This window comes from Homo sapiens, chromosome 2 (genome assembly GCF_000001405.40).
Source record: "Homo sapiens chromosome 2, GRCh38.p14 Primary Assembly".
NCBI lineage: Eukaryota > Metazoa > Chordata > Mammalia > Primates > Hominidae > Homo > Homo sapiens.
The window spans coordinates 222,431,918-222,455,760 of NC_000002.12; the positions used below are offsets into that span (position 1 = coordinate 222,431,918).

Here is a 23,843-nt window from a genome sequence, read left to right on the forward strand (position 1 = left end):
AAGGCAGAGAGTGGACTGGAGAGGAGAAATGGAACCCACCCAGCGCAGGTTGCATGAAGAAATTGGTGTGATAATACAGCTGCAGTTTTGGGCTGCAGCCAGAGTTTTAGGCTGAAGCCTTAATGTGGCTTACTGCAGAATTTGGACTTTATCCTATAGACAAGAAGATAGCAGTCAATTTCATCCCGTGTGCCAAATCGGAATTGGCAACTGAGAGCACTGTGTTAAGAAGGGATCTCAGGCTGTCTCTGTGCAGGATTGATGGAGGTGCTTGTGTGAGTATGGAGGGAGCCCAGTGGTGAAGCCTTTTAAGAAATAGTGATGTTAGATTCAAGCAGCAACAAATGTAGGACTCACATGAAATCAAACCTTAATGTCTGTTTTGGGTCCTTTGTGATACTTCTATTGTCACTCTCACCCACAGATGATTTACGAGGAAAAAGCACAAATGGTTTCTTAAGACAGAGGTTGCCATGTTTTGAATCATAGGATCCCATCATTATGACTACAAGCTGATTGAGCCAGGGCTCAGCCCTGGAGTGAAAGGCAGCCTTCTATAGGCTGGTCAGCATTTTATGACATGGCTTGGCATGGGGACGTCATCCAATTAAGATCATGCATATTGTGTAGTGACTAACAGACTCAATCGAATTGCTCCCTCAGCAAGTCTGAATGCAAGACCCAGACATAAATGTTAGAGTTCTGACAAACCTCAGAGAAAAGAGGGAGGTTGTAAAGAAACAGAAGCCTCAAGACACAGGAAACAATAGGAACTCAGAAGCCAGAGGTGGAGGGGGGAATGAAAAGTCTGTAGAAAAGATAGGCCAGATACGGTGGCTCACGCCTGTAATCCCAGCACTTTAGGAGGCAAAGGCGGGTGGATCACCTGAGGTCAGGAGTTCGAGGCCAGACTGACCAACATGGAGAAACCCTGTCTCTACTAAAAATACAAAATTAGCGGGGCATGGTGGCACATACCTGTAATCCCAGCTACTCGGGAGGCTGAGGCAGGAGAATCGCTTGAACCCAGGAAGCAGAGGTTGCGGTAAGCCAAAATCATGCCTTTGCACTCCAGCCTGGGCAATAAGAGCGAAACTCTGAAAAAGAAAGAAAGAGAGAAAGAAAGAAAGAAAGAGAGAGAAAGAGAGGAGAGAAGGAGGGGAGACGAGAGGAGGGAAGGGGAGGGGAGGGGAGGGGACAGGCAAAGCCAAACAAAGCAGAAAAAAAATTTCTGAATGGAAAAAGAAGCTAAGACTTGAGTATGGCAGATTCCACTGAGCATGAGAAGCTAGAGGAACTGTTATGTTTCAGGATAGAATGGCTCAGAGAGGACCTTAGGAAAGAAGCTGGCTGTGTGGCTGCTGCAGTTTTCTTAGTTCTTGAGGAATTATATTATAAACCCCTCTCAGTGGAGGGAGCCTGTGGGGATCTCGCAGTGCAACCAGAATGTGCTGATCCCTACTACTTTGAAGGATTTACACTTAATTGCAAGTAGGTCGTTATTTCTCTCACTGTAGTTGCGAATGGTGGCTGGTGAGGAAGAACAATGGGGAGAGGAAGTTAGATCCCTCTGCTCACCTGTGTACCCTCAGGGCCTGACATGCCTGGAGCAACCAGGTACTTAATCCTACCTGGTGAATGGAAGCTTGAAAGGTGCGCTAAACTCGCCTTTGTCTGACTTGGCAGAAATTTGATCACCTGCCCTTTCCTGTCACAACAGAGGTAACTTATCCCTGGACACTTGGCCTGGCTGTGTCTTCTTGTAGCTTGATGATTTTTTTCCCCCCATGTTGGCTCCTTCCTTTTTATCCAGGAAACTGATAGAGGGTTTTGATTAATGAATAACTTTTTAATTGCTTTGCTTTCTTCTGATGGATGCCATGAAGGGAGGTATTGCTAAAAAGTTAGTTGATGGTGAAACATCTGACAAGTTTAAAAATGTATTTCAATTACTATGTTTTAGGAAGGCTGTGGACAGCCGGCCTGGTGTGATTTTAACTTTTTTGACTTCTAATTAAGATGTCAAGACATTTGCATTTTTCAAAAAGCACTTTCACTTCCTCTTGTTACAGTTTTCGTTAATGATTAAGTCCTCTGTGGTCCCGATTAGAATTATATCCTGAACTAAGGCATTCTTGCATTTTATCCAGCAGGAGATTTTCTTGTGAGAAAACACTGTCACAGTTTCCAGGCAACGCATCAAGAGTGTTCCTGTCTATATTAGGAATCTATGAAAATACCAAAATTTGGGGCATCTGCAGGTCTTTATTATTCTTCTTGCCTGGTGAGATACATTCCATATACTGAGAAAGTGAAACATTGAAAAATCAAGGCGAGACTGTGACTTGTATTTTTTGATTAATTAATTTTTAATTTTATAATTGACACATAATAATTGTATATGTTTATGGGGCACAGCGCAATATCTCAGCACGTAGGTGTGTGACTCATGTTTTTTGTCCCCTCAATCTTGCTTCAAGCACAACAAAAAGTCCCTGAGGCTTGGGCCAGAGCGGATGAAAAGGGAAGGCACCAACTACCTAAGATCTTGAAGGCAAGGCTTGGGAGTCTTGGGAAAGGGGGCAGTGGTTTCCCTCAACCATTTTAAATACTATTCTCTCCTCCCCCAAATGCTCATTGGCAGTGCTATACCTCTATTGTTTAATGAGAAAACACCTGGTTCATTGTTACTTTGTTTATTTGGTAAATGCCTTCATAAGAAATGCCCTTTCTGTCATCTCAGGGTATGTTTTGATTTGTCCAAATGGCAAAAATTTTGTTTCCATAAAATTTTATGAAAAACTGCCCATCAAAGCAAAGATTCCTGTGGGTGTGGTGGTGAATGCACAGGCTGCTGGGGTAATGTGTCGGCAGCTAAAAAAGACCAGGCCTTAATTGGTAGAGAAAGGGCTTAGGTGAAAGATAATTAAAGGGTGGCTGTGAAATAGAACATCAAGTATTTTGTTTAAAGCTTGACAAATGGAAGGAGCCTCTGTTAGAAGTTGGTTTGTATATTAGGGTTCTCTAGAGGGACAGACCTAACAGAATGGAGATATATACACACACACACACACACACACACACACACACACACATATGTGTATATGTGTGTATATATATGTGTATATATATACACACATATACACATATACATATATATATACACATATATATATATGGAGTTTATTTAGTATTAACTCACACAATCACGAGGTCCCACAATAGGCCTTCTGCAGGCTGAGGAACAAGGAGAGCCAGTCTGAGTTCCAAAACTGAAGAACTTGGAGTCTAATGTTTGAGAGCAAGAAGCATCTGGCATGGGAGAAGATGTAGGCTGGGAAGTTAGGCCAGTCTCTCTTTTTACATTTTTCTGCCTGCTTATATTCTAGCTGAGGTGGCAGCTGATTAGATTGTGCCCACTCAGATTAAGAGTGAGTCTGCCTTTCCCAGCCCACTGACTCAAATGTTAATCTCCTTTGGCAACACCCTCACAGACACACCCAGGATCAATACTTTGTATCCTTCAATCCAATCAAGTTGACACTCAGTATTAACCATCACAAGTCCACCTTTTGTCAACTTGAACCCATGTACATCTCCTGAGATCATATGTAATCTTCATATACAGATAACAATAAGGTTATAATTATGTCTAACATAATACAACTATCCTTCATACAACAGGAAATTCACCACGCCCCAACGCAAGTACTATTACATAAAGTTAACAATACTTAAATGCTGATATGAAGTCAATAAATCTTATGTCACATGATAAAGGAGAAAGGAAATAAAATGAAGGTATTTTCTTAGTACAAGTGTATACGTGCACAAACATGTTTTAACAAAAGAATAAGGAAATACTCATGACAATTACAGTCCTGGTTTCTGTAGCTGGTCATGTGGTCGTAGCTGGTATTGGTGACTACCTTCTACTGCCCATTCCCTTTGCCTTCAGCAAGCACTTCAGCAGGTCGTGGTTTTTTTCCTCGTAGAGTGATTCAAACCTTCATTCCTGAAGGGTCTGGGTCATTTGTAGTCTTGCCTGGACTGGGCTGTTGTACTTTCCCATTGACCTTAATCACAGGGAATGGTAATACTAAGAGATGCCCTAATGGATCTTCTGTATTCCATGCATCCTCTTCCTTAACTCTGTTGTGAAGTATCATCTTGATAGTCTGGGTCAGTCACCCCAGGCAACACTGTAACTCCTTTCTTAGCCTGTTGACTTCAAGGTAGGAGGAGCCCAAAGTGTCCAGATGGCAATCTTAACTTCCAGTTTAATGGAATCATCGTTGTGCCTCCTAGTGGCAGCGTTCCCCACTCTGGAACTAAGACCTCTAGGCCAGCAGAACATAATGTCACAGGAACAGGAAGCAAAAATTTTGCTAGTGAATCCCTAGGGGTGATGGTGAGTTGTGCTACTTCTACTTCCACCCCTTGATTCCTGGAAACATGAATTTTGACTATGAGAGAAATAGTACCATATATTGGACACTGATTCAGAGCATACAAGGCCTTCTGGAGAACTTTGCCCCAGCCCTGTAAACTATTGTCACCTAGTTGGCATTGTAATTGTGACTTCAAAAGGCCATACCAGCATTCTGTCAATCCAGGTGCTTCAGGATGATGGGGAACATGGTACGACCAATGAATTCCATGAGCATGAGCCCACTGCCATACTTCTTTAGCCGTAAAGTGAATGCGTTGGTCAGAGGCAATGCTGTGTGGGATACTATGACGGTAGATAAGGCATTCCATGAGTCCACAGATGATAGTCTTGGCAGAACATTGCGTGCAGGATAGGCAAACTGATATCCAGAGTAGGTGTCTATTCCAGTGAGGACAAACCTCTGCCCTTTCCATGATAGAAGAGGTCCAATATAATCAACCTGCCACCAGGTAGCCGGCTGATCACCCAACGGAATGGTGCCATATCGAGGGCTCAGTGTTGGTCTCTGCTGCTGGCAAATTGGGCACTCAGCAGTGGCCATAGGTCAGCCTTGGTGAGTGGAAGTCCGTGTTCCTGGGCCCATGCGTAACCTCCATCACTGCCTCCATGGCCACTTTGTTCATGGGCCCATTGGGTGAAGACAGGAGTGGCTGGGGAAAGAGGCTGAGTGGTGTCCACAAAATGGGTCATCCTAGCCACTTGATTAATAAAATCCTCCTCTGCTGAGGCCACCCATTGGTGAGCACTCACATGGGATACAAATGTCTTCACAATTTTGGGCCACTCAGAGAGTTCCATCCACATACCTCTTCCCCAAATGTCTTTGTCACCAATTTTCCAATCCTGCTTCTTCCAAGTCCGTGACCATCCAGCCAAACCATTGGCTACAGCCCATGAGTCAGTATATAATTGCACATCTGGCCACTTCTTCCATTCAAAGTGCACAACTGGTGCACTTCTTGAAGTTCTCCCCGCTGGGAAGATTTCCCTTCACCGCTGTCCTTCAGGGATGTCCTAGAAAGGGGCTGTAGTGCTGCAGCTGTCCACTTTCGGGTGGTGCCTGCCTATCATGCAGAACCATCTGTGAACCAGGCCCTAGTCTTCTCTTCCTCTGTCAGCTGATCATAGGGAACTCCCCATGAGGCCATCGGTGCAGGCTGGGGGAGAGAAGGCAAGGTGGCAGGAGTGGAGACCATGGGCATTTGAGCCATTTCCTCATGTAACTTACTTGTGCCTTCAGGACCTGCTCTAGCCCAATCACATATATACCACTTCCATTTGATGATGGAATGCTGCTGTGCACGACCCACTTTATGGCTAGGTGGGTCAGAAAGCACCCAGTTCATGACGGGCAGTTCAGGTCTCATGGTGACTTGATAACCCATAGTCAAATCTTCAGTTTCCACCAAAGCCTAGTAACAGGCCAAGAGCTGTCTCTCAAAAGGAGAGTAGTTATCTGCAGAAAATGGTAGGGCCTTGCTCCAAAATCCTGGAGACTCCCACTGTGAGTCACCTATGGGGTCCTACCAAAGGCTCCAAATAGCATCCCTATCTGCCACTGACACCTCAAGCACCATTGGATCTGCTGGGTCATATGGCCCAAGTGGCAGAGCAGCTTGCACAGCAGCCTGGACCTGTTGCAGAGCCTTCTTCTGTTCTGGACCCCACTCAAAACTGGCAGCTTTTTAGGTCACTTGATAAATGGGCTGGAGTAACACACCCAAATGAGGGATATGTTGCCTCCAAAATCCAAATAGGCCCATTAGGCATTGTGCCTCTTTCTTGGTTGTAGAAGGGGCCAAATGCAGCAACTTATTCTTCACTTTAGAAGGAACATCTTGACAGGCCCCACACCACTGGACCCCTAGATATTTTACTGAGGTAGAAGCTCCCTGAGTTTTAGTCGGGCTTATTTCCCATCCTCTGGCACGCAAATGTCTCACCAATAAGTCCAGTGTGTTTGCTAGTTCTTGCTCACTGGATCCAATCAGCATAATGTCATCCATGTAATGGACCAGTGTGATATCTTGCGAAAGTGAAAAGCGATCAAGGTCTCTCCAAATAAGATTATGACACAAAGCCGGAGAGTTGATATACCCCTGAGGTAGGACAGTAAAGGTATATTGCTGGCCTTGCCAGCTGAAGGCAAGTTGCTTCTGGTGGGCCTCATGGACAGGAATGGAGAAAAAGGCAGTTGCCAAGTCAGTGGTTGCATACCAGGTACCAGGAGATGTGTTAATTTGCTCAAGCAATGAAACCATGTCTGGTACAGCAACTGCAATTGCAGTCACCACTTGATTAATCTTACAGTAACCCACTGTCATTCTCCAAGATCCATCTGTCTTCTGCACAGGCCAAATGGGAAAGTTGAATGGGAATGTGGTGGGAATCTCCAACCCGGTGTCTTTCAAGTCCATGATGGTGGCACTAATCTCCGCAGTTCCTCCAGGGATGCGATATTGGTTTTGATTTACTATTTTTCTAAGTAGATGCAGCTCTAATGGCTTCCATTTGGCCTTTCCCGCCATAATAGCCCTCACCCTACCAGTCAGGGAGCCAATGGGGGGGTTCTGCCGGCTGCTAAGTATGTCTGTGCCAATTATGCTTTCTGGCACTGGGGAAATAAACACAGGATGAGTACCCACAGTAAGTTGGACCTGAGCTAAAACTCTGTTAATTACCTGACCTCCATAAGCCCCTACTTTAACTGGAGGACCACAGTGATGTTTTGGGTCCCCTGGAATCAACGTCAGCTCAGAGTCAGTGTCCACTAGTCCCTGAAATGTCTGATCATTTCCCTTTCCCCAGTGCACAGTTACCCTGGTGAAAGGCCAGAGGTCTCCTTGGGGAAGGATGGGAGAAAGATTCACTGCATAAATTTTCGGTAATGTAATGGGGTCCTTCCTCAAGGGGACCTGGCCTCCCCTTCATTCAAGGTGTTCTGGGTCTGTAAACTGGCTCAAGTCTGGAAATTGATTAAGAGGCCGTGATTTTCTACTAAAAATACAAAAATTAGACAAATGTGGCGGCATGCACCTGTAACCCCAGCTACTTGGGAGGCTGAGACACGAGAATCACTTGAACCTGGGAGGCAGAGGTTGCAGTGAGCTGAGATCACACCATTGCACTCCAGCCTGGGCAACAGAGCAAAACTCCATCTCCAAAAAAAAAGGAAACAACCAAAACGTTCCTCAGGAGATAAATTGTTAAATCAACTGCAATACATCATGTCATAGAATACTACTCAGCAGTAAAAAGGAATGAACAATTGATACACATGATAACTTGGATGTATGTCACGGGCAATAACAAGCCAATTTCAAAAGATCAAGTTCTGTAGAATTCCATGTATATAATGTTCTTGAAATGGCAAAATTATAAAGGTGATAAACAAATTAGTAGTTGCTAAGGGTAAGAAAGGAAGGATTGCTATAAAGGGGTAGTCTGAGGGAGATCTTTGTGGTGATGGAATGTTCTGTCTTGATTGCACAAGTCTGCACTTGTGATAAAATGGCTCTACACATGTGCCAAGGTCATATTCCTGGTCTTGCTGTTGGGTATAATTATGTAAGAAGGAAGTATTGGAAGGAAATGGTGAAGGGTATATGGGACAACTCTCTACTACCTTTGCAACTGCCTGTGAATCTATAATTATTTCAAAATAAAGTTAAAAAATCAATACTGCCTTATAAAAACTGGTTCTGCCATTTTTCTCGCAACTTTTACTACAGGCATTATTTGTACTTTCTGCACAAGGAAATGTAGAATAGCATTTGGGAGAAGGTGGCTTCTGAGCCTGCTGTGCTGCTGTTTCCAGAGCTTCAGGGCTTGGCTGTCAACCTTCTGCTCACTGACTGCTGCTATGTGCCAAGGAGAGCACAGAGAAGTGTTTGAGTGTCAGAAAAGCACATTTGTCCTTAATTTTATTTTGACAGACTTGTTTTATAGCCTCATGTTTTGTGTGTTTTTGTTTTTGTTTTTGTTTTTTTTTGAGACGGAATCTCATTCTGTTGCCCAGGCTGGAGTGCAGGGTGCAACCTCAGCTCACTACAACCTCTGCCTCCGGGGTTCAAGAGATTCTCCTGCCTTAGCCTCCCGAGTAGCTGGGACTCCAGGCGCCCACCACCATGCCCGGCTAATTTTTGTATTTTTAGTAGAGATAGGGTTTCACCATATTGGTCAGGCTGGTCTCAAACTCCTGACCTTGTGATCTGCCCACCTCAGCCTCCCAAAGTGCTGGGTTTACAGGCATGAGCCACCACGCCTGGCTGTTTTTTATGTTTTAAAATACTGTTTTTTTAACATTTTGTTAAGCTACTTTAAACTGGTGTTGCAAGTAGATCAAATTTGCACATTAGGACAACTTCAGTCTCTCTTCCAGTTGTCTTTTTTTCCTCCTCAGTCTACAAACATACTTCAAGTCATTAATCCCCGTCTTCACCCACCGCAGAACATCAGCTTTCAGCCTAGCAGCGCTGGAATCTGACACTCTCTGCTTCCTTTAACCATGGAACATCTTAAAAGAGCCATCTGAGATCTACACTCCCTTCTACTTTTTCACACATTTCATGCCTGCTGCATGACTCTAGCTGGTATAGTGTGAACTAAAAGAAAATAAAACCAGGAAAGTGTATTCAGCATAAGAGATCATTTTTGAGGGTTACTTTGTCCATGTGTAATTTCATTGAGAGTAGCTGTCTAATTTTAAATGAAAAGTTTTAAAATAGTTAATTCTCTTCTGATGTACATAAAAAGTAGATTCCTCTGTATTTAAACTGTATTCTCAATGGTGAGGCCCAGGGCTTTGGCAGGGAGGCTGACTCATGGTTCAGTGGCTTCTTTCCCTGGCCTCAAGGTCAACAATAGCCATTCCTCACGTGGTAGAACCATTACATTTGTTTAATAGATTTATGTTCTTCTCCCACAAGTAGTTTTCATCATCAGAAAGTATTTGTCAAATATCCAATTGTAAAAGATTTGTTCAACTGTGTTCTACAAAGGGAAAAATTTAATCACAATATCCAAAGGATATTATAAAAGTAATTAAAATTCCATATACATCTAGACATGGAAACACATTCATGATCTATTGTTCAACCAGAAAAAGCAGATTAAAAAGTAGAGTTTATAATATGAAGTTTAAATGTACACATTTTAAAACTGTAAAGTATATATTTGAATATATTTTTTCAAAAGGATCTGGAGTGATGAACCAAATGTTTCCAGGGATTGTTCTTGGGCACAGAGGGTTTAAATGTCATTTTTATTTTCTTACTTGTAATTTTCTGTATACTCTGCATTGTTTACAATACGAAGGTAGGAATTTTATGTTTAGAAAAAATTAAATTATTTTAATTTTATAAAAAGATTCTAAGGACATTTTATACTTTTGAGGAATATTAGTTACTAAGATTATTACCATTGATCCACATTAGAACCTTAAATAAATTATCATTGACATCTTTTTTAATAAAGTGCCAAATATCAACTGTATTGATTAGGAACCTTACCTTGAAGAAATATTTATTAAACTATGTGAAGTACTCCAGTAGCTTTCTTAAACGAAACAAAATGGTACCCCCATGTCTCTACATGAAGATGCCACATGGAATTACAGTATATCTTTTCCTGTTCTGTCCAAGCAACCACATGAAATGCTAAGAACTTAAAATACATAATGTTCTTTTGCACTAATGGGAATTTCTTAATGCACTGAAAGATTTCAGCCTTAAAAATATCCTTCCTTGGGCAAAAATATATTCTTAAAGAACTCAGGAACATCTTAAGAGATACAGATGTTGAATGTTATATCTCCTCTTCCCTCTGGTATATTTTTGGCATGTATCTTCTGTTGTTTCTTTAAAAGTTGCTTTTGAATATCTCTTTTAATTGTTGTATGTCATTGTTTTAGCTATTTACTCACTTGCAGGCAACGTCTTGGGCATGCTTTTTGTTGGATCTTGGTTTCTCTTCATCTGGTGACAGTGGTTGAAGTAAAGGAATTTTTAAAGTAAGATTAAATAACAATACTTAGTACTTATAGCAGACATAAAATATTATCTGACAGACTTTTTATACTGGTGTGTTTTAAAAGTATCTTTTTATCTTCTCCCTTTTTTGATTTTGTTGGGTGATGTTTTTCGTAAGTACAGAAAAACATCGAACAATTTAATTGTGTAATTCATCTTCATGTCTGTGAATATTAGATACCAGTATCATAAAATTTGATTAATTATGCAAATATCCTTGAACATATAAAATACCTAGTCCCCTAGGTGATTACTAAATGAGTTTCTTTTGGCTAAGAATCTAAAATGCTTTTTAAGAAACCAAAATGTAGTTTCTTTTTGCAATGTGTTTCTGTACTAGTATTTGAACTCTGAAGTATCTAATGGTTTTTGAATCCACTCTAATATAATGGTGTAACATTGGAAAGATCTGTCTCAGGGGACCCTTAAATTTACCCTTCCTCAGAGCAGACAGTTTTATAGCCCTCAATATTAAGATTCAGACCGCAAGCTCAGCAGGAGTCAATAGATCAGTCAGAGTGGAGCCTCGCTGAACAAACCTGAAATCAGAACGATCAAATATTGAATCATGACATTATAGTAAGGAATGCCTCCGAAGTAATTGTCACATTTGCTTGTAGTGACCTTTATAAAATACCCACGCTTGAAAATGACATTTTTAATGCTTCCTCCTCTAAAAAACTGTGACAATCTTAAAATTGGAAATGTTACCAGAATGGCCATTGTCTGGTGAAGTAGAAGTGCTGCATCATGGATTGAAACCATTCTCGGCTTTGCCCTATGAATCATATATTTTTTTTAATTTCAGCTTTATTTTACTAATTTTTTAAAATTTAATTTAGATTCATTGAGTACATATTCAGATTTGTTACATGGGTGTATTGCGTGATGCTGAGGTCTGGGTGTCTAACGATCCCATCGCCCAAGGTAGTGACCATAGTACCTGATGAGTCATTTTTCAACCCTTGTCCCTCTCCTTCCCTCCCCGCTTTTGAAATCCCCAGTGTCTATCGTTCCCATCCTTGGGTCTGTTTGTACCCAATGTTTAGCTCCCACATATAAGTGAGAACATGCAGTATCTGGGTTTCTTTAGCTTATTTTACTTCCAAAGAAAAGGATTTATGAGGGGCTACCGTAGAGAAAAGGAATAATGACAATTTTCTTTCCTGTTGCTCTTCCCTCTGCCATTTCTTCTCGCTGGTATTTTCTTTGCAGGTCTGTGTTGTGCCAAGAGTAGATATTGTTTGTTTTCCACTTGTTTGTTTTTTTTAACCATTGGTTTTGGTGCTGTTGACTTAGGTTGTGTGCTACAGGGATCTTGGCTATAGTGAGCCTTTCAGGGCCTCACATGGCCCCTCACAGAGGTCTGTGTGTTCCATGTCTGTGCTGTATTTTGCAGGGGAGGCAGTGTAATAGGCTAAGATGGTGCTTGGCTTCTTACACATCTAAAACATGTCATGTAACCTCTACTGTAACCTCTACCACCTTGGTTTCCTTATCTGTGAAATGGGGAGAAATAATCACATATACCTCCTAGAGTTCTGAGATGTAAATAAGATCATCTGTGGAAGTGCTGAACACATGGTATTTGGTGTCAAGTCAGCCTTCAAAGGTTATTTTTACTATTGTCTCTACCATCCCACCATTACCAACACTGCTGTTGCTGCTACTACTGCTAATGGCACTTCTATTATTTTAATGTGACAAGGTCTTTTCCAAGAAGAAATTCCTCTCTTGTTGTAGAGCATGGGTGATGGGAGACAAGGGACCTTGGGACCATACAGATGGTGCAGATCTACTTTCTTATGCCACTTCATAAGGGTAGACTCTAGTTTGAGCTAATCATGTGCTTTAAATTGTTGCATTGCAGCATAGGGAAGCATTCAGCCATATTGTTTTCCAGGATTTGCGTGGTAGGAGTTTGGCAGTCCTTCCTTCTGGTGGTCTGTGGCACCCAATCATTTGCCATAAAAGTGCTTTTCCAGGTTCTGCTTCTTTTCATCTACGCTTACTGAGTTGTGGAAATTTTTAGAGAGTTTCTTATTCTGAAATAACACTACTAATATTCAGCCAGTGTCTATCAAGTGGATACAATGTGCCAGACTGTGAACCCTCTGGGGTGGATAAGCCTGCTGGTCCCTGCTCTTGAAGAGCTCTCAGTGCATTGGTGGAGACAGGTAAACAGGTGAGCAGGACATATGCAGGAAAAGGACAAATTCTTTTTCAAAGTTCATCTGAACAAGATCTCTTTTTCTCAGAGTCCTTGATTCCCCATAAGAAAACACCAAACCAACAATTTTGAGTGCCGTTGCCTCCAAGACGCCTGATAGAAATGTTAAGAGGATTTGAAACTTATCAAGGATAGAACTAGGTGCAGCAGAAGATCTCAGGCTTTAGAAAACAATACATTGCAGCTTTGGGGGAAAAAATCTTTGGAGTTTTTTTTATTAGAGTATACGAAGTATGGATTCATGCATAAGACTAAAATATTATGTTAAGAGAATTTTAAGATAGGAAAATAAATTGTGAGCATGGGTAATAAAATAAAGCTTTTAGCATGCAAGCATCCAGACTCCAATTAGTCCCTGACCAGACCCCGACCCAGGAGACAGTTAACTGTCCAGGGACCAGGAAGAGAGGATCCTTTAGAGGTCCTTGACTCTGAGCAAAGTTATGAGAATAAGGCCACTTCTGTGGAGCCCCCATGGGTAATGATCATCCTGTGTAAGGTGAAGATAGTAACTAATTGCTGCTGCTGCTGGAACCTGGCCTTGCTGAACTTGGTGGACCTCCTTGAACCTCAGAGCAGGGGGTCACAAACCAGGACTTGTTGGACCAAACATTGACCACTGACATGCTTTGTTCACACATAGCTTTACTAGTGGAGCCTGTCTAAACTTTCTGCCTTCTGTTCTTTGAGACAATGGAAGCTGTAGCAGCACTGGCTTGCATTCCTGCATAACCATAAGAGGTTGCTTTCCAGTTCCAGTTGCTTCCTTGCACCATAGCAGCTCCCTCAGTCCCCAGGGCTCCCTCTTGTCCCACACCTGCAGTTGCTTTGCTGACTCACACCAGTTGCTTGACCCACATAGGCATTTCAATTCATGACTCCTGGCCTAGAAAATTCCAGAGAGAAGGAGAATAGCCATGGTTCCTGAGGGAGAAGGACTGTGCTACCCTTGGGACTAGGATGACCCCGTCTAATGCTCCCTGATGTAGTGGGCAGTCCCCAGAGGAGAGGCTCAGAATCACTTTGGAACGATTAGACCATACAGAGCTGCCGCTCTCGATGGGAGGATGTGTGGAAAAGGCTGATGACCAGCAATTAGGTGTGAAGTCTTTTTATTCTGTGCCTGCTCTGTAGACCCCGAAGGCTTAGATGTCCTCTCCTCTGAATCCTCCCAATGCCAGGCTTAGATGGATCTACTACCTGCCTCATCATCTGGGTACTATCCCAGGAGCTTCCTGCTTGGCCTAGGCTGAAGAGAAAGGCTACAGTGGGCTTTGCAGAATGTAAAGGGTTCAGATTGTCAGAAGAGTTGGAGAGAACATTCCAGAAGGGCGGAACTACAGAGCAAAGAACTAGAAGTGGGATTAAATGTGCCATGTGGAAGGAACATTTGGGGACTGAAAAGAGCAGAGGAACGAGTAGAAATAAAGTCATGGGTCTACTCAATCTGCCCTTGAATGCTAGGTGAACACTCTGGGGGCTTATACCTAGAGAAACCAGTCATTGTTAATTTTAAATCAGGGGGTAGCCTGAAGAGTGTTGATGATGAGGGAGCTGAGTACGGTATAGGTAGAAATAATGAGAGATAAGAGGTGGAGGAGTCATTGGAAGGTGGTGACTTCAGTCACCTTGGATTTCTTAGATGCTGGTAATGGCAGGAGAGTGGAGAGACAGGGATGAGTCAGAGACATCAAACACAAAACAAACAACCCAAGAAAACCTTTTTTCTTATTGCACAAGCAGTATGTTTTTAATGTAGGAACTATAAATAGTCAAAAGTTTTAAATGAAACAGTCGATCCGAGTACCCAGAACCCTGAGGGTTACTTGTTGTTGCTATCCGGGGGAATAGCTTTCTAGATAATGTTTTCTATGCATGGGTTATATCCATCTTTAATAAAAGTATGGTTTTCCAGCTTAATTTTCTAATGTATAAGTCCATCTTTAGCTTTGTTCCACATCAATAAACATTCATGTACAAAACTTTAATCACTATTTCATTGGCTGTTCATTATTCATCATGATTTATCTCTGCCAGCCAATTAAGATCCTTTCCATTTTTGGCTAAACAGTGGAATAAATATTTAATGTGGATATCCTTATTGATTTGATTGAGCCATTTTGAACAGATTGACAGGAATCAAAGATGGATGCCTTCTTTGTCCGTCGTATCCAGTGATAACTCAACATTTGGAGCCTGAAGGATTTGGGGCATGATGGAAATGTTACTGAAATAAATGAGAAAATATGGAAAAAAGAAGGATTGAGTTGTAAAGGAAGTCCGTAAACTCAGTAGTAAAGAAATTTTTGCTGCTATAGGTGACAGTAGTCCCTGTTAATAGTTGCTTGAAATTTTTATTCTTTTCTCATAGAACAAGAGGTTAGAGGCTGGTGAATGCTGACATTTGTTCAGCTGCTCCACAATATCATCAGACTCAAGCTGCCTCTTTCTTTATGCTCCTCCATGTTTTGCCTGTTGGCTTGTTGCCTCATATGCTAAGATAGCTGCTGTTGCTTCTGACATCAGAACCATGTTCCAGCTAGGAACAAGGTGGAGTAGTGATGGCTGCTTGTATCCTTTTTATAAAGAAAACAAAAGCATATCCAGAAGATCTTGCCTCTGACCCACCCACCTCCCTACTTCTCACTGACAGGACTGAGTGTCATGGCCACCCCTAATTGCAAATGAGGTTGGGAAAGAAGGAAGTTGAATTGCCAGACTGACTTGCACTATTGCCTGAGGTTTGGCCTGAGTTTGAGTTCTGCTAACAAGCCACAAGAAAGTGGGTAGTGTCCGGTAAGCAATTAACAGTGTCTGTGTGTTATGCTTTGAGAAATTGAGTTCCTGGGCATTCACGAGGTTTTGTTGGGGCAGTAAAGAACCCCTGATATCTGGGCCGAGGATCCATAATAAAAGAGAAAATTAGAGTGATTGTTGCAGAACCATAGAGGGAACAGAGGTTGACTAATCAGACACAAGTTAAATAACAGATTGTTCCATTTGAAGGAGAAAACCCTATGAGAAGTGAGAAGAACTATGCTTTACTGCATTTTACATAGATGGTTTCATTTAATTCATGTAATTTTCCTCCTGAGAACCTAGTCATTCTACAAACATTTATTGAATGTTTACTATATGCCAGCCACTGAGCTAGGCACTGGGAATACAGTGGTGAGTAAAACAGGCAAAGCCTCTTCAATGCTGAGCTCACGGGTTAGTGAAGGAGGTAAAAAAAAAATAACCAGAGGGGCACATAACAAATAATGTCAGGTAGAAATAAGCACAGCAAGAAAACTCATAGCTAAACAAGGGGATAGAGAGAGCAAGAGAGGTGTATCTCCAACACCACGAAGCAATTTCTCTTGTCACCATTTTATTGCCAAGGATGCTGAGGCAGGCCAGCTAGAATCCCAAGTGACCAGGTAGTATTCGGCAGAACCTTGCTTATGATCTAGGTTGGACTCCGAAGCACATGCTTGGGAATACGTCATGCAGCTGGGAATTGGGGAAACATTTAGTGTCTGCATCTAAGTGGAGAGCTGGAGTCTCTCATGGGACTCGGTGAGAAGAATTCAAGCTCTGTACCATAAAGCTCTTTGGAGTTTTATCTTTGCTCTACATCAGGAACACTCAATGCATGATTTTTACCATGACTTCTTGGTCTCTGCTGGCCAAGTGTGGTTGTTCAAACAAAAGGACTGTACCCCACCATGCCATGAGCCATGTGGGACATACCAGCACCTGCTTTGTGTGCAAGCTGGAGGGATGGTTGAAAAGAGCACAGGCTCTGGAGTCCAACTGATTGGGTTTGCACACTTACTCTCCCACTTGTTGGTGCATAAACATGGGCAAGTTAGCCTCTATGGGACTGAGTTTACCCACCTGCAGAGTTTCTACTGTGTTGTAGTGGAGAACATGTGAGATAAGACAGATAATGGGAGCACAGGAAATGCTTAATAAGCGCTGTGTTGTTTTTGTTGGTAGCATTTAGAAACTCTGCATTATTTTTTGTTATGCTCACATTGCAGAGCTAGCCTCAGAAAGACATGCTTTTCCATGCAGAAGTCTCAAATTCACAAGTTTATAAATTGTGAACAGCCTGGTGACATGATAAGGCACTGTGTTCCCCTGATGGCATATTTCTGAAGCACAGCATGCTCAAAATTTTATCTTCCCGTGTTACATGCTTTTGCAGACAGCACAATATGGAACCAGTCAGGCTCCTAATTATGACAGCAGTCCAGAGCCAGAATCCAGTCATCCAGTTGACAAAGGACTTGGTACAGAGAACAGTGACCAGCTGTTCCCCATCTCCAGTGAGCAGCGAGTAAGAGGAAATGGGTTTAAGCTGCATGAAGGATTTGGGTTATTTATGGTGGAATTTCCTGACCGTGAAGGTTGCTCAACATTAGGACTGGATTACAGAGAGAGGGTGTAGAATTTCCGTCTGTGGAGATTCCGAAAACATGTTCTTGTTTGCGAGATGACTACAGATGCTGCCTTCCCACTGTGCGTTCTGTCTTGTCTCTCTCCCTTTCTACCCATCTGGTCGTTGAAACCAAATGAACCTTCTCTAAGACATTGAGGGTGGGGCTGCTATTTGGAGAAGGGAAAAGAGCTCACAGTTAACTGGTCAGAACATCATCCACTTTTTGACATTTTGATTGCAGGCTTTGGCATTTTGGGTGAGGACACACAAACACAAATTCATTTAGTTAACCTAGGACTGAAAAGCCCACCTGGGCCAGGTGAAAAACAAAAATGGTCAGGTTTACAACTTTGAAGAACTTGGAGAACACGTGCCCCATCCTAAGGATGCAGCCTTTACTCAGGTCAGCCAATTTTTTTTTTTTTTTTTGAGACGGAGTCTCGCTCTGTCACCCAGGCTGGAGTGCAGTGGTGCGATCTCAACTCACTGCAACCTCTGCCTCCCAAGTTCAAGTGATTCTCCTGCCTCAGCCTCCCAAGTAGCTGGGACTATAGGCACCTGCCACCACGCCCTGCTAATTTTTTGTATTTCTAGTAGAGATGGGGTTTCACCATGTTAGCCAATTCTTATCACAAGGACTGTGGGAATGCACACTGCTGCCAAGCTGATTTTCAAGAGCAGTATGAAATCTGGGGAGTTTTAAAATTCTGGCAACTAATTTTCTAAAAGCCAGTTATGTGTGTACCAAGGGGAATGTAGATCTGTGGGTCATAATTCCATGTGCAGGGTGCTTGTTTGTGACTTCTGATCTGTGAGGTCACCTTGGTCCATTGGCCCTGCTAGCAAGTATGGGAATGAGCATCTCTCCAAGTTCAGACACGGGTTTGAGGTGGCAGAATTTGTCTTTTAAAATGGAAAACCTCTATATTTATATTTATGAGCTGAACCATAAGAAATTGACATTTTTGTGTATCAACAATAATCAAATATTGTCAATTTCATGTGCTTCAATCTAAAAGGAATCATCCACTTAAGAGAAACTAGAATATGAAATATAGACTGTGTTCTGTCCTGCAGCATCAAACATTTCTGCCTCCTCTGAGACGAAGAAAGCACTCACTAACTGTTCCAGCACCCCACGTTATTTACTAGCAGACCATGCCTGGCAGATGGAGGTGACATCAGCCATTGCCTGAGTAACATCCATCTTCTCATTTGCACCAAGCAGCTTAAAGAGTCTGCCCTTCCTGGGACTAATGGCTTTAATATTAACATTGTTGAAGCTCCTTTTAGCAGCAGCATAGCCATTTGTGGAAATTTTCCAAATAATCATCTTTCTCTTCTTTTATCTTTCCTTCCATCAATTAGTTATAGGCTATCATTTTCTACAGATATTTTTAGTTTCTATGGATATCATTGCAGAAATCAACTGGACATAGCTGAGGATGAAACAATTGTTACCCTCAGGTAGGTGGACAGACTCCACCTCCAAAAGCAGTAAGATGGGTTTCATCCAGGATCCGCAACTTCAGTGATTCAGGTGTGAATCGAATTGCTTACTGATGGTGCATTCTGTTAAACAAAAACGTGCATTGAGAGAGACACAGCTGGCAGACGACCTAATGGGAACCTGGAGGGGAGGTTCTACCTCGGATGCCACATCTTCCCTCCCACTCCCAGACCAAATCCTGGGGTTTGAAAAGGGGGTTGGTACCAAACCTTTGCCATGTTTGAGAGAAAGACAGGAAGAGAGCCTCACTTTTCTCACTGGCTTTCCCATGCATCCTAGAACTCGAACTCTGATGAAAGCATTTCTTTAGTTCCAAGAGCTCTCTGGATGAATAGGGTAATGGGTTTCTTTTTATTTTCTGCATCTTTTTTTTAACTATTTAATGTTTACTTCATATTGATTTATAAACAACAACCTCTTTGTGAATTTCCTTCATAATATAGAAAATGTATTTTGACCAAATGTATAATGCATTTTTATTGTCTTAATTAACTGGAATTCCAACATTCCCTTCCCCCATTTCTTTGCTTTTAATGAAAAGTAGCAAATGAATAAAAACCATACAAAAAGAGAAAAAAAAAAAAAAAACTGCAATCAGAGATTTAACCAAACAAAACTCCCCACTAAAACCAAACTTTCCAGAAACAATTTTCAAAGTTCCTATGAAATCAATCATCTGGAGGGATATTTTAAAGGGAAAAAAGTGCTCTGTAAAATGATTAGCTTAGTTTCTTCATGTGACCTAAAAAAGGGCAGGTGGATGTAATCAACTTCTCACCCCATTGATGGCGAATACTTTGAAAGTCATATTAATCATTTAGAAAGTATGTGACCACACATGAGACACTCCAGTTGCCTCTTTGTCTGGTCTCATAAGTGTGTACAGAATTATTTTGATGTGCCCAAGGCACCTAAACCCTACACGCTCTGTGTGGCTGACTGAGAAACTGCAGAGCAGATGTCTGAAGGGCTGATGTGCTGAGCCCTGGGCTGTGTCGTGAGGCACAGCCATCTCCAGCTAGCCTTGCTTTTATCTGCCACTTGCTAGACTTTCCCACTGACCACAGGCTCCCCGCAGCTTTGTGCCTCGGTTTATAGATTGATGGCAATGCAAGGGGACTAAAAGTAAAGGAAGATAAATATCAAACTCTTAATCAAAGGAAGGAAGAGAAGGGAAAAGATCTATAAATTCAAAAATATTTTTTCATGTTTGCTGAGCATGGTAGCAGAGATACATGGAAACTCATGGCCTAGCAGTTGTTTAATGCTGATGGGTGGAGTAATCATCATTATTATTATCAACAAGAACTTTTATTTACTCAGCACTTTCTGTATGTCAGGCACTGTCTAAATGCTTCTCATGCATCGATGCATTTAATTTTCACAGCTCTGTAAAGTAAGTACAGTTGACTCTTGAGCAACATGGATTTGAACTGTTTGGGATCACTAATAATAGATTTTCTTTTTTTTTCACATCAATTTGTACTTTTATTTCTTATTCTTGAGGTTAGATTCTAAACCCTAAAGATATCCAAACTGTATTAGATCTACTTATCTATAGCCAGAGACAGCTTCTATCATGTTGTCCTTAGCAGCCAAGGTTATTAAAATGTCTTTTCTCCAGGAAGATCCAATAGGAAAAAAGAAAGAAACCTCTCTGATTAGGCTTCAACCATACCCCACCCTCCATCATATTGACTGGATAGGCATAATGGAAACCAGAACATGTGGTTTCCAAAAAAGAAAAATCCTATGAGGGAGGGGAGGAGGGGAGAGGAAGGATTCAGCCAGTGCCCAGAGTCAAATTGAGTAATATCAATTTCACTCTCCTTCACAGATCTTCAAGTTGTATGTTCATGGAGTAGTTTAGGAATAAATCCATGGTTTGTGGAGTACTAAAATACCTAGTTGTCTGCTTTATTACGTTATGGCTTTCCCCAGCAGTTTCCAAGGCAAACTGGCAGGAGAATTTGGCTGGAACTACATGCAGGACTGTAGAGATTCCTCTCCACAGTTATAGAAGGGACTGTTCCAGGCCTGATTGTTCCAGAACTGGGTGCACCAGGTCTGAGTGTTCCAGGAGTAGTTGCTCCAGGACTGGATGTTCAGGCTGTGGTTGCTGCAGCTTGAATTGCTCCAGGTCTGGTTGCTCCACATTGGAAGGTTTCCAGTCGTGTTCACCAGGCATTCCTGGTGGTAAGAAGAGTAGAGGCTGGGGTAGGTAGGTGCTGAGGCCTGAGTCACACCATTGCTATTCTGCGGCCAGTTGTTTTTCTGCCACCTCTTAGATTTCATTCTCTGGTTCTGGAACCAGGTCTTCACCTGTTTGTAGCTAAGGTTCAGGATATTGGAAAGTTCTTGCATCTGTTGAAGGCTGAGGTATTTCTGTCTCTGAAATCTATCATTGAGTACACACAGCTGGGTGGAAGAGAACACAGTTCTGGTCTTCTGTTTCTTGACTGGGACCTTGTCTTCCTTCTTTTGTGGCGCTATTCTCTGCAGCAGTGGGTTGTTTGCCTTTGGGACTGGTAGGAGAATCAGGACTATCCTCAGATCCATGGAGGAAGGAAGAGGAGAGACAGTCGCAGTGTGAGGCATCTCAGCAGGAGACATTTGCAAGGATGGATAGTTTCTTCAGGCCCACAAATGACAGGCATAGGTGAAGATTCTTTACAATCAGATGCTTTGAAGCCAGGCAGGTTTGGGGACAAGCTGGATTCACACTCATGTTATTACTGGGGAAGAGAAGTAAAAAATTTAAGAGCTGGACTGGAAAAAAGGCTAAGGCAGCGTTAAGACTTTTCTGGAAGATCTTAGAGAAATATGACCTCCAGAAGTGAAAGTATCAAGAAGTTGGGATGAAGTGAGCCACCTCCACAACAACAGGAGGCAACCAGCTCAGCCCAGCAAAATGTCAATGACAGATTTTCTTCCACCTCTGCCACCCCTAAGACAGCAAAACCAACCCCTCCTTTTCCTCCTTCTCCTCAGCCTACTCAACATGAAGACAAGGAAAAAAAAAATGTGATGATCTACTTTCACTTAATCAATATTAAATATATTTTCCTTATGATTTGCTTAATAACATTTTCTTTTCTCTAGATTACTTTATTATAAGAATACAGTATATAATGCATAGAACATATAAAATATATGTTGATTGACTGTTTATGTTATAAGTAAGGCTTCCAGTTAACAGTAGGCTATTAGTAGTCAAGCTTTTAGGGAACCAAATGTTATATGCAAATTTTTGACTGCACAGGGGTCAGCACCCCTAACCCGTGCATTGTTCAAGGGTCAACTGTATTTTATGTTATATAGTTGAGGAAACGGAGGCACAGTGAGATTAACTCACTTGTCCAGGGCCACACAGCTAGTGAATAGTAAAGCAAGGATTGAAACCCAAGTTTTTAACAATAGTACTGACCTGCCTCTTTTGATAAGCGTGCTAGAGAACATTTGGTTTATTTCCAAAAGTGTAGATGCATTTTGTAATCTTTTACTTTTGTTAACAATTACCATTTAATTTTCCTCTCTAGCAAGGAGGTCCTTTTGAATCCTTCAAAAATTTAAGCATTTTTACTTCATGATTTTTTTTGCCAATACAAACAGAAAATTTTCTCTCTAACCTGCAAGCATCTGAAGATAAAGAGAGGAGAGCCTGCTGGTGTTTATCTTTCTCAAAAAGATAACGGGAAATATGACTCAGGTGGCTCTTGAGAGATGCTGTTCCCATTGCTGATGTTCAGTGTTTTATATCTGCTGTCTGGATTTGACTTGGAGAAAAGCATGCAAGGTGAAATGTGCTTACAACTCTCTGCCAAGGTGAAAACCTCAATACTATAATAGGAGAGCTTGGATGAGGAAGGAGTGAGTTCAGAGATAAATAACTTGACTCTATCTTGTGATAAATTCTGAAGTGGTCTGTTATGAAAGTCCCTTTCAGACCTATGGGTCAAAGTAGATTTTCTTTAATGTGAACCACAGTGATTTCACAGGTACAGTGTAATGGAGGACCAGAAACACACATAGACTTGTTCCTGGATAGCTGAGCTTCTTAGACTTGACAAGCAGGCTTCTGCTTGATTAGCTGAAAACTCAGGCAAGTGTGAGCCTCATTCCCTTCTGTGAAAATGAGGCAATTGGACCAAACAGTGGAGCTGTTAAAAAAAAAAAAAAAAACAGGCCAATTTGAACCTCACTCCAGATCTAGTAAATCAGGCTCCTGGAGTAGAGTCCAGGTATGTGTATTTTTCAAAGCTCCTTGGGTGTCATTAAGAACCCGTAGATGGCTACTTTCTAACCAGAATGTGTGCTAATGGCATGCTCCACTTTTATTTCTCTGTCTCTTCAGACAACAAGCATTTGTTGAATGCTTACTGCGTGGTGGGCAGAACAACAGCCATTGTGTTGATGCCAGGAATTCTGCAGGAACAAGGTGCCCAGCGTCCTTGCCTTCAAGGAGCTTGAAGTCTAGTTTAGATGAAAAAAACTAACAGGTACAAGAGTAAGAGAATTAGGCTGGTCATGGTGGCATACATCTGTAATCCCAGCTACTTGGGAGGCCAAGGCGGGAGGATTGCTTGACCCCAAGAGTTCAAGACCAGCCTGGACAACATAGTGAGACCCCCCACCACTCCAATCTCTTTAAAAAAAAAAAAAGTTTAAGAGAATTTCAGATGGGCTACAAGCTATGAAGAAGATAGAACAGGGTTATGATGTGGAGCCAGGGAGGTGAGGGCTTGAGAAGGCATCTCTGAACGGAGATGTGTAGGGGAGATGGAATCTCAGAGATGCGAAGGAGCCAACCAGGAGGAGAGTGTGCTTAGGACAAAGCTCAGGAGGCTGGAATGTGCAAGACATGCTCGAGTAAGAGGCAGTAAGCAACGGCCAGAGTGGCTGGAACATAAAAAAGGAGAGGCAGGGAGGTAGGAGAGAGGAGCAGAGGTCAGATCTCAGTCCTTGACCATGGCTGTGCTTTGGGACTTTATTCTGAGTGTGATTGGGAGCCATTGGAGGATGGAGATTGTTTTCAGAAATGAATTGATTCTTGATTTTCATTTGAATAAGACCATTTGGGCTGCTCTGTACAATACCTGACAAGGTGGTTATAAAATTATTACTTGATATTTGACTAATTAGGCTTTATTTTCTTAACTTGGGATATAACTCACATACAATGAAGTTTACTC

The 23,843-nt window shown here is 42.0% G+C and overlaps 1 protein-coding gene and 1 pseudogene across 3 annotated transcripts in view, besides 1 other annotated feature; one reads left to right on the forward strand and one right to left on the reverse strand.

Annotated features, from left to right (window-relative positions):
• Positions 1 to 23,843, forward strand: part of SGPP2 (sphingosine-1-phosphate phosphatase 2) — a 138,634-nt gene that overhangs the window by 7,930 nt on the left and 106,861 nt on the right. Inside the window, exon 2 of one of the 3 annotated variants that reach the window (NM_001320833.2) lies at positions 15,366 to 15,508. The exons of the other annotated variants lie outside the window; for them this stretch is intronic. The gene's annotated coding sequence lies outside the window, so the exon portion shown is untranslated. The remainder of the gene's footprint in view (positions 1 to 15,365; positions 15,509 to 23,843) is intronic. 3 annotated transcript variants of the gene reach the window in all.
• Positions 19,653 to 19,702: an enhancer, noted in NCBI's record as "active region_17166". NCBI's record gives its function as "activates an Ori minimal core promoter by ATAC-STARR-seq in GM12878 lymphoblastoid cells {active_cell/tissue: GM12878}" and the evidence as "EXISTENCE:reporter gene assay evidence [ECO:0000049][PMID:35858748]".
• On the reverse strand, positions 20,125 to 21,569 carry NANOGP2 (Nanog homeobox pseudogene 2; annotated as a pseudogene).